Source organism: Homo sapiens, chromosome 1 (assembly GCF_000001405.40).
Source record: "Homo sapiens chromosome 1, GRCh38.p14 Primary Assembly".
NCBI classification, from domain to species: Eukaryota; Metazoa; Chordata; class Mammalia; order Primates; family Hominidae; genus Homo; species Homo sapiens.
Genome location: NC_000001.11, coordinates 166,328,957 through 166,340,900, shown reverse-complemented (window position 1 = coordinate 166,340,900; position 11,944 = coordinate 166,328,957). Strand labels below are relative to the sequence as shown.

Genomic DNA, 11,944 nt, shown 5'->3' with positions numbered 1-11,944 from the left:
TTTTTACTTTTGGTACTTTATTCTGCATATATGACAGCAAACATGTCAATGATGTACACCTTATTCATTAAAGCTTTGTTTGTAAAAACAATCCTTTGGAAGCTATGTAAAGAACTATCAATGAGAAATTTTTAAAAAGTATTAGGATATATTCTTATAATTGAATACTACTGTATATGACCATTAAAAAAAGAATGAGACAGCTCAATATGAATTGATATGAACTAATTTCCAAGACACAACACATATATTGTTAAACTAAAAATACCAGAGTGTGAAAGAGTTAGTTCAGATTTCCAACATTTGGTTTTTTAAGCAATAACAAACATATACACATGTTTTTGCATGTGCATAGTGTACATGAGTATCAGGACACACAAGAACCTTATACTAGCAATTGCCTTTGGAGAAAGAAACCAAGTGGCAAGTGCAAGAATGAGAGACCGTCCTACCATTTACCATCAGCCTTTTTGAACATTCTTACCTTTGTACCATGCTCATATATTATTTACTCAAAAATAAATGACTAAATATTTAAAAGAGGGAAAATTATATGAGAGCTGACTGTGGGATTTGAGTTCTAAGCAGGTTGGCTCAGAACTGTTTACCCACCATACCCCTCCCCAACCACCACAATTCAAGAATCTCTGATTCTTAAGGATTTAAAATTTTGTTCTGTATAGGCTTGAGATGTGCCAGTTGGTCAGCTCTGTGGGTCTGTAAATTAAGCCCATTCTGTTCTGACTGTAATACAATGTCATTGACTACTGACACCAAGGAGCTACAGAAATGAGGAGACGTGACCTAGAAGAGCAGGAGGGTATAAGGAAAAATGGGAAGTCTGAGGCCTGTGGCCAGCCAATTACCAACTCAGTAACTGAGAGATGGCGCAGCAAGCTGCCCCACCCTTAAATAGAAGGGTGCCTACCCCATTTTTTATCCCTCCCCCTGCACTAAGCCACCCTGAAATAGATTGAAGGAAGCACAGCTACATATGAGGAAGAATGCAGTGTCCTTTCTCAAGGGCAGTAAATATCATTTATTTGGATTTTGTTGCTTCTAAGATCCATTGTCTCCTGAAATCTAATTTGCTATGTGCCCTAAGCTTATTTGGGGCTCCACGGAACAGAAATTACTGCAAGGTAGCAAAGTCTCCATGCAGGCCTGAACAGGAGGAGATCAGTCCATCTTAATAACCTCATTAATGATCAGAAGGAGAGGACTGAAAGCATATAAAAACAGACAGCCTGGTTGGGAACAGGTGGGAACATTTCTGAGAATGTCCTCTGCTTTTTTTTCACGTTATTAGCACCCAGAGTATTTTTTCTTCGTGAGAGAATTTAATCTTCAGGAGTGTTAACCATTTTTTTCTTAGAGTTGCCATCAGCTCCAATAAAGAGAGTAGGATTATCGCAGAGCAGAGATTTGCGGGCTCAAGGAGGCAGCAATCCAAAGGTGCGCAAAGGAATGCCGTGTGGCCAACCTTCTTAGCCTCCAATGGGTGCTCATCTCTGGATTAGCGCGACTAGACCAGCTAGGAATAGGTTTTATTATTTAAGCCACATTTTGTCTGTCTGCTTTTCAGACCTAGGAGAAGGTATACTCCTGAGTTCGTACTACAGAAAATATAAAAATAATTTCATCTTTCCATTCATTGAATAAAATACTAAATACATATTGAACACAGAGAAGTGAAAGAGAGGCAGCCTGTGACACCGAACAAATGTAGGGCCCATCCCTGCCCACTTGGAGTTTACAGTGCAGGTGGTAAGATGTAAATAGCATGCATGAGAAGAACCAGAGAAGGCATGAGTTTACACTTGATTTTTAATTGACTTCACTGCCTTTTTTGATGGCTGACAGTTTCCTTACATTCAGGCTCTGCCAGGAAGAGTCTCTAGGAGAAGTTCAGGGGACCAACCGGCCTATACCAAGTGTACCACCTTTCTCCTCCAGGCTGCAACATAGTTTTCAAAAGGAGCTCTTCTACGTCCTTGAAACCTAGAGAGAAAAAAGGAAACAAGATCTCTAAGAACAGCTGCATTGTTTCTCAGGATGGTGGGACTATCGGCTGATAAATATCTATAGGCCTCTTCAGGGGTGGAAACCTGGCTTCAGTTCAGGTGTCAAAAATGGGAGAATGACAATCAGAAATTTGTTTGGATCTCACTCTCTGTGTGAATCTGTGTCTGAGAACTGGAACCTCAGAGGACATGGATTTGATCTTCCTTCCGGCATGATACAAAGCATAGTCTTCCACCACCAAAAGTATAGCAAGGATGTGGAAAAGGGAAAAGCCAGTGTGGGCTGGGGTCATCATGGAAGACTGTCTGGGAAGTGGTGGAGGTTTGAGCTGGACTCAGAAGCTAAAGAGAGAGGCCTGGAAAGGGCACTTGAGGCAGGAAAGCCATAGGAACCAAACCTTGGAGGCTAGGATGGACTTGACCTGAGAAAAAAGTTGCAGAAGGCCTGAGGAAGCCATTTGTAAAGGAGAGGGCTTTGATCGGCCTTCTCAGTGAGGGGACAGCAGGAGAACCACAGTCAAAACTCATGCCTCCTCTCTCTGGAATGCTCATTTCCATTCTGAATTCAGAATATCCCAGTGATTTGCAGCTACTGATAAACATCTGAGATCCAAGGCCCTTCCAGTCAGGCGAGCAGAATTAGAAGTTGCTGCAGCACTTCTAGTTCCATGTCATTGACAAATTAAGCAATTTTTCTGGTCTATGAATGAGAATTTTAATATTTACCCTGCAGAGTTTTTGTGATGGTCAAGTTTGAATATATGAAAAGGGTATGACATATAATAGGAACCCAAAAATGGTTGTCATTGTTATTGGAAAAGGTTAAATGCGCTCCTTGATAAAACATAGGGAAGAGAAACAGGGCTCTCTGTACAATATCTGGCACTGCTCTCACAAGGAAAGAAGATTGATACCTACTGTGTGTCAGGGTCCTAGACCTTCTGGGCCACTTAGGTAATAAATATTCAAACATTGGATTATGAGATAGGCTCTACTTGCCAGTTTTGGTATTAATTTTCATATCATTTTATCATTGTAATAGAGCCGTTAGTTAATTATATGATTCAATGTCTTTTAAGATTTGTATTACATAAATTTTAAAATTTATATCCATGGAAATGGAGGGAGAAAATCCCATGGCAGAGGACATGTCTTGATTTTTGTTTTGTAGTTCAGTCATAACTCTGGTCTCTCTATAATATCTAAATCAGGGCGTCCAGGGATCACCACTACCAGCAAGTTGCCAGTTTCCAATAGCCTTGGAATGAGGCTGCTGGGCCAAAAGCCCTCACATGGAGCCAGGAGAGAAACCTTTCTGAAGTCCACAAGTGCATGATGCTACTTCTAAATGGCAGGTGTCACAAACCCAGAGGCTGGTGGCCTAGGAAGTTGGCTTTGGGCTGGCTTCACCAAAGGGCAAAATAAGTATAACCCTTTAGTTTCTGTGTCCCTAAGCATTTAAAAAGACTTGCAAACAAATCTGGCTGCTCAGGGCTGCACTATGATGGTCCTGGACCCTAGGACCATTGGCTTTCGTGGGCTGCTTCCTCCATAGAAAATATCTTAAATTATATTTAACGTGTTCATATAAAGATTATTAATATTGTATATTACACTTTTTGACCTAAACATTTATTTTTTTCTTTTTTTAAATTGTTGTTCCCCTGTATATGATGTCACAATTTTTTGCTGCTTTTGAGATTTTTGTGTGTTTTTATTGATGCATAATAATTTTACATATTTATGGGGCACACATGATATTTTGATACATGCATACAATGTATAATGATTAAATCAGGATAACTACAATATCCATCACCTCAAGTATTTATCATTTTTTTGTGTTGCGCACATTCCAAATCCTCTCCTCTAGCTATTTTGAAATATACAAGAAATTATTAATAACTATAGTCACCCTACTAGGCTATTTAACACTAGAACTAATTCCTTCTATTTAACTGTATTTTTGTACCCATTAGCCAATTTTCTTCTTCTTCTGATTTTAAAAGAAATTAAAAGCTTTGTGGGCCCTAGGCACTGTGCCTACTGTGCATTCTGAATAATTAGGTCTTGATAGGGGTCAGAATTAAATTTTAAAAGGTGATGGCAGGGAGGAAAGAATTGTAAATATGAAAAAAAATACACATCACAGAAGAGCACAGAGTGGTAGGTTAGAGAAAGCAGCAAATTGGCTAGCCAAATTTTGTCAAAGTCCCCAAACACAGTCTTACTTTCTCAGAGGTTAAAATCTCCAGGTCTTGAGAATTTGCTCATTTTACCTTCAGGGTGATTACAGCTTAATGCAAAGCACCACAGCGATCACTTTTCAGGAGCAAATGTTTTTCTGATTACTTTGCATTTGTGTATCTAAAACTAGTATTTCATGAATGCTAACTGCTGCAATTTGACATTCCAATTGAATTGTCAAGTGGTGACTTTGTTCTTTCACTTGTAAACTTCCATGTAGTGTGCATCGTTTCTTTAGCTTTTCATTTTTCCAGTGATTTTGAAGTATGTTTAGAAACACAGTTCCAGCCAGCCGCCCTGGAGAAGGCTTCAGGAAGAGCTGGAGAATTATGGAAAACCTTGTATAGCACTGTGAGAAATTTCATTTTTAACCTGTCCCCAGGCCTGTGTTGTTCTGACCCAAGATCTGAACAGAGTCAATACATTTGGCACTCTCACCTGCCAGAGAGTCTCCAGGACCTCCCGAGAGGAAAGTAAGGGGTGCATTGGAGACACAGTTTTCTGCTGCATATGAAATGACCATCCTGCCCCGTGCTGTTTACTTCAGTGTAAGGTCACCTGCTCTTAATTGTTTTCCCCTTTTTGGAGACAAAGTTACACTGATGTATCCCTTCCCTTTAAACTAGTTCCCACTCCCATCACCTATTGCATGAAGGTTGTTTTCCTCTAAGGAGAGAGAATACTACTTACTGAGCACTTAGTATTAGCCTAAGTTGGTTCTTTCCCATCATTATCTCATTTAATTCTCACACCACTTAGAGGTGGAAGTAATAGTCTTTATAAGATGAGGAAACCAAGGCTGGGAGAGGAAAAAAGTGAGAAGACTCAGCCATAAAAATGAGAAGAAAGATAACATGCACCAGACAATTAAATATATGATTTTATTCAGGCTATTATAAGGAGAATGATCGTTAATGAGAACTTCCTCAAAGAAAAGGAAGGGGACCGAGGGTTTTATGCAAGCAGGTCACTAACGGAGCCATCTGCGAGTCCTACGGGAGTCACGCGCAAGGATGGAGATGAGTCTGTCTTGGAATATGCAAGGGCAGGGTGGTCCTCTGTAGTTAGCCTCCTGGGACACAAAGGAGTGGGGTGGGGGATTTCATAATTGTTGCAACTTTCAGGGAGCACAAGACTCAGGAAAAGTTCAACATTGTCAGTCACCTTTTTGTTCAAGGCAAGTGTCTCATTGCTGAACAACTCCGAGGTGATCATAAACCTCCTGAGAAGGTGGAGCGGGATCCAAGAAAGGGTCTCCAGAGGACTTTGTTAGTGTTGTTCCTGTAAAACCACCTGAACCATCTGTGGAGAGTCAATGGGAAAGATCAGTTGTTTTAGGGTCTGGAGATCGGCTTCTTGAAAGGGGAATGCCTAAAATGAAAAAGGGAAGCATTAATATGAAAACTGGTATTGAAGGAAAGAGCTGGGAGTTGAATCTGAAGGTTAATGAGTCCAATGAGTCCAAGACGTTTGTGGAGGAAACTCTCTCAGTTATCGAGCATCACTCTTTGAGTTTCTTCAAGCTCCAAAGCTTGGATGTCGATGCTGTTGGTGACATCATCCTTGTCTTGGTTCCCTCTTATAAAAGCATATATATGGCCTAAGCAGATCACTGGACCTTCTTATTTGTCCAGATACAATTTGTCTAGAGAGAACTCTTCCTTACGCATGTTCTACTGAAGTGGTGAGCCCTCGGAGGTTTGCACCAAACTGTCAGGCTTCAGCTTGCAAGATTTCTTCAGATCCTAGGGAAAAGAGCCAGCTTTAAGGTAACCTAAAGTAATGATAGAGATCTGATCAGTCAGGTTTTTAGTTCCCAGTGATGCTGAGCCAGGTGGGAGGGAGAAAAATGGAAATAGTTTGGAGGATTGTAGCCAGGTATTGAAGAAAATTGAAAGGATTAAAAATTTGGTAAAAATGGAGGCGGGGAATGGTGGCTCACGCCTGTAATCCCAGCACTTTGGGAGGCTGAGGCAGGCAGATCACGAGGTCAGGAGATCGAGACCATGGTGAAAGCCTGTCTCTACTAAAAATACAAAAATAAGCTGGGCATGGTGGTGTGTGCCTGTAGTCCCAGCTACTTGGGAGGCTGAGGCAGGAGAATGGCGTGAACCCGGGAGGCAGAGCTTTCAGTGAGCTGAGATCACACCACTGCACTCCAGCCTAGGTGACAGAGCGAGACTCTGTCTCAAAAAAAAAAAAAAAAAAGAAAGAAAATTTAGTAAAAATGGACAATATGGTCAAGGTGACAGATCAGTCCAGTTTTGTTCAGGGGTTAAGAAGAAAACCAGTTAAATCTCTACCAGACAAGACAGAGTTGGCACATCTATTATTTACCTGCAATTTTTAAAGATGAGAGATCCCATGAAAGTTTCTACAAGAATAATGCAACTACAAAGGGAATTTGTGTCTGTGTAAAACAAGATAAAAGTCAATCCAAAAAAAAGTTTAGACAAAATATCTATGAATATAATAATTAACCCTATTTTCAAAGAAAAGTGGATATTATATCTAATTTATAAAAATGGATGAACATTATCTTTACCAAAAAAATCTTCGGATTTACTGTAATCCTGAGATATAATATACCATGAAGATACCAGGTATATAGTTTAAAAATACCAAGAATATATCAGAAATACCAAGTGAAGAGATTCTGCAAGCCTACAATAGGTCTTAAACATCTGTATATCAAATAAAACTCCACAGGTAAATGATATTAATAAAACTTCATAGATTAAAAAAAAATTCACTTGAAAACCATGAGCCTAAATGATGTTAGATTCAATTTAAACAAGTAAATTGCAATGCAGTTCACATCTTTAAAAATAACTGAGTTATGACTATACTGTTTTTGTTTGATATCAGGCAAAGCAGCACCAGGACTATATCATAGACAGTGAGAGAACTGACAAATATCCAGGAACTACCCATACAGCATATGATTCTGAAATATTTGTATTAATAATGTTACCTACACAGATTTATCCTAGAAAAGGTTAAGCATCTGCATCCCTTCTGACTTGGCAATGCTTTGAAATTCATCAATGGTAAAGTATCACAACCTCATTATTTCTAGTTTCTCTCTTTTTATAAGGTAAAAGAACAAATCCTTTGTGATTTTCTAGGGTCCCCCTAGGAAATCTCAAAAACATATTTAGGTGCAAAAGACATCACTTAGGAATCAATTTTATAAAGGCAAAAATCAAAAGTTGTTAGGAGATTTGAACACCTAAGATAGGAATTGAATCATGGGTGTCTGAGAGATATTTTACTTCTCATTTCATAGTGACAATAAAACATTTAAAAATAAACCCAGAAGGTAGCATGATTGTAAATAATCTTAGCTCTTTTCTAAATGAGAAGGCTTTGTTTACTTAAATCATCAAGGATATAATAAAATCAACGTAAACCATAAAAGCTTATTCTGTTAAGACACAGAATCTTTGCTATCTAGGCAGATTACACAGAAGGTAAAGAATAACATTTTATAGCCTTACATTATGAGCAGACCAATGATCCAAGGAAATTTTGTCACTTTAGCAAAGATTAAAAACAAATTTTTGCTTTGCATCAGCATAATATAGAATACTGAAGCTCTTTCTGACATCTTATAAACAAACCCGTCAAATCTTAGCTAGCTGTGACAACAATAGATGAAATTTTTTTCCCATGTACCTTCTATAAGTGTTTTTATCCATTCAGGTTTGGTCCTACTCTTTCCTCTTTCTCACTCTGCAATAAGTAGTCATTTTAGTTTAAGACAAAACTACTCTCTGTTTTCATTAACAAAAAACATATCCTGCCTATCTTGCATATATAGTTATTCATTTGCCACTATTGCTCCTAGTGGATCTCATCCATATATATTGATAATAACTTTTAACCACAGTAACCTCTATTCCAGAGAGAAAATTAGGAGGTAGGTAACTGTGAACTGTCACACACCAGCACTTTGCAGCAGGTTAGCAGAGCTTACACTTTCTGTAACCATATACATCTCTTATAATGTCTCAAAATGGCAAAAGTGAAAACATTCATTAACACACCCAAAATACATAGCCTTTCTGCAGCATAGAAAAATTAGAGGCAAACATATATAAACTTAAAATTACGGTTAATAATTAATATTACAATACTCAATCTTACTTAGAAATGATGTCTAATTCAATTTAGCAGAAATTCAAGATTTTAATTTACCTAAAGACCTTGGGAATTATTTTCAAGATAACATACTGCAAAACATACTTACTGTTGAAATAAAGTCTTCAGATAAGGATTCTATTTGGTTAAATACAAACTTACATTTTTCATAATCTTCAACATTAAGTCAAAGTAATCCTAGCTTATTTGATTAGTGAACCTATAATAAGTTTAGAGAGACTACCCCCAAGTAGAATAAAAGTGTGTGCTTCTGTTATACTTAATGCTAATAACTCAGAGAAAGTATAGCTGTTTTTATTGAACCAAAATTATTAGATCGGTTTTGTTTGCCAAATATTTACTTGAATTATGTGAACTTGAACTCACAGAACATTTCTGAGCTAGTTAATATAGCAATACCTCTTTTTTCCACATTGAAACAGTTTAAGCTTTAATTTCCTTAATTTCTGGAAATTCTAGGAATATTAAATTTATATAAGCACTTATTTACCTCTAAGTCAATGAGAACAGAACTCCTTTAAGTATTTTATCATCTAATTTGGTGATAGCGTCCAGATGTAGGATAATATCACAAACTCACACAATGAAAGGTAAAGGCCTTTCCAAATTCCAGACATATAAACACACAGACACACACGCACAGAGAAAACTTATAGCTTCAAGTCTAAAATGTTAGTCATAGGTCAAACACATATGCAAAAATGCAAACCTTACCAGTTTATATCAAAGACCTGTTCTCCTCCCAGTGGATACAAGTTTTTAATTGATTTGAATTGAAAACAGAAAAACAGACAAACAGAAAAGACTAACAAACCATATTCTTTGTCATCTTTTATCCAACAGAGAAAAGATCCGTTTACATTACATTACACCTATTATATTTACATTAATCTGTTTACAGAGAATACCGATTTGTCAGCCCATAAAGCCAAGAGAAGCCAGTACCAGAAATCAAGTACTTGAAAAGAATCAAAGTCAAATACTTACTGTGCTACCAAAAGACCGAGGTCCAGAGCACAGGACCAGGAGTTGGGCCCACCATTGGGTCCCCAAGTCATGAGTAAGGAGGGAACAAACAGGGCTCTGAGAAGCTTCACTATCTAGATGGAGTAAATGAGGATTCAAAGGTGAAGTCTAATCCTATTTAATTCATCATGAAAGTTATGTAACATAAAAAGCACCAGACAATGAAGGAGATTATTTTATTCAGGTTATTCCAATAGGGAGAAAGTCCATTAATGAGTAATGCTTCAAGGAAAAGGAAGGGGACTTGAAATTTTATATAGGCAAGTAATTGAGGGATCATCACAAGTCTTATGAAAGTCTTGAGAAAACTTATTTCAGAATATATTATACAAGAGCAGTGCGGTCCTTTGTGGTTGGTCAATCCCAAGACACAAAAAGATCAGGGGATTTTTAAACCACATTGTCTAAAGCTATGTTCTTTTAAAAGTTCAATCCTTTCCTTCATTCCTCTGGCCTTTCTGGACCTGCTTTGGGATCTGGGCAGGTAGAAGCTGCTTGGCAACTGCTTGTTGAGCTTTCTTGGGTTGACTATGGTGATGGAGGCGCTACCCAGCAGGGAGGACTGCGGGAGGAAGCAAAGGGCCCACTGTGCTCCAGAGAGAGAGGACTCAGGTCAGGCTCTGAATATCAGCAATGAATAAATCCTTGGTTAATACTTTTCAAGGGTTCAAATTTATCTATGCCACTGGGAAAGTTAAATAACTTTACAGAGACTCATGGGTTTTTAAAATTTCTAAAATGGAAATATAATAACATACTTCATAGACTTCCCTGAGCCTTCAGAGATATAACAATAAAATGCCTGCAATATATTAGGCACTCAGTAAAGTGTTTCTTTCCTTCTCTTTCTTTATAGCTTGGTTACAGCTCCATCTCACTGTACTGGGATCTTTCTCTCAGAGTCAACCGCAAGCTCTCTCTGGGCAGGGAGCATATGAAATTTACCTTTGAATCATCTTTTCACAGTGGGCACAGTAAGTACCCAGTAAATGCCAATTTTTATACTATATAGGCAAAGGCTGAGCTGCTACAACAAAGAGCCTCTAAAATAAAGTGACTTACAAAAACAGAAGTTAATTTCTTTTTCACGAATTAGCCTGGAGAGTAGCTATCCAGGCTGATGGAATAGCTCCACTCCATGTGACCATTCAGGAATGCAGCTCTTGTTCTCTTGTGGCTTTGCCTTAGGAGGTTAGCAAACTATATCCCATGAGTGGACCACCTGTTTTGGTAAATAAAGTTGTATATAAACACAGCCATGCTCATTTGTTTATATATTGCTCAAGGCTGCTTTTGTGCTAAAATGACAAAGTTCATAAAAAGACTAATTTCTACAGAGACCATATGGCCCACAAGCCTAAAGTATTTACTATTTTACTACTTACTAACAGCTGACCCCTACTCTAAGGCAGTATCCCCATCTGCCTGGTTGACTCTGGGTGGCTGCAAGGTCTATGTTCCCAGAATGGGTAGAGGACAGATGTTCAGAGCAAGTGGCCTTTGTTTTCATTAGACATGATCAGACTTTGCATGTATCATTTCTACTCTCATCTCCTTGGCCTGAAATTTGCCACATGGCTATACTTAGCGGCAAGGAAAGTTAAGAAGAGTAGTCCCTAGCTAGACAGTTACGTGCTCAGCATAAATCCAAATAGTTAAGCTATAGAAAGAAAGAAGGACTGCAACCACATATCCTACAAAGGACCAGTATCTGGAGCATATAAAGAGCTCTTGAAACTCAAGAAATCATTTTTCATTGTCTCCAAAATGAGCAATCTAATTAGAAAATGGGCAAAAGACATAAACAGGTATTTCACTGAAAAGGCTATACAGATGGCAAATAAGCACATGAAAAATTTTCCACATCATTTCCCATTAAGAAAATGAAAATTAAAACCACAAGGAGTTATCACTACATACTTATCTAAATGACTAAAACAAGAAATAGCAGAAATACCAAATGCTAGTGAGGATATAGAGAAATTGGACTACACATATATTACTAGTAGCAATATAAAATGGTAAGTCTACTCTGGAAAACAATTTGTGAGTTTCTTAGAAAACTAAACATAATAATTATCATAAACAACTATATATAAACATGCAACAATCATACAACCCAGAAGTTGCACACTCGGGCATTTGTCCCAAATAAATGAATAGTTATGTTCCTCAAAAATCTGTACACAAATGTTTCTAGCTTCAAACTGGAAACAACTGGATATTCTCCAAAGACTGAATCTTTAAATAAACTGTGGTACACCCATACTGCAGAAGACTGCTCAACAATAAAAAAGGAATTATTCATACATGCCACAACTTAGATGAATCTCAAGGGAATTATGCTGAGTTAAAAAAAAAAAAAAAAACCCAAAAGGTTACATACTGCATAATTCCATTTAACATAACACCTTGAAATGGCAAAATTAAAGAAATGGGAAATAGATCAGTGCTTTCCAGGGATTAGGGAGACAGTGGGGAGG

The 11,944-nt window shown here is 37.8% G+C and overlaps 1 long non-coding RNA gene across 1 annotated transcript in view; it reads right to left on the bottom strand.

Annotated features, from left to right (window-relative positions):
• LOC112268276 (uncharacterized) overlaps positions 1-11,944 on the bottom strand; it is a 175,024-nt gene continuing 163,080 nt past the window's right edge. The window contains exons 2-3 of the long non-coding RNA XR_002958633.2: positions 5,436-5,573; positions 1-2,001 (exon numbers count right to left, since the gene is read on the bottom strand). This is a non-coding gene — a long non-coding RNA (uncharacterized LOC112268276). The remainder of the gene's footprint in view (positions 2,002-5,435; positions 5,574-11,944) is intronic.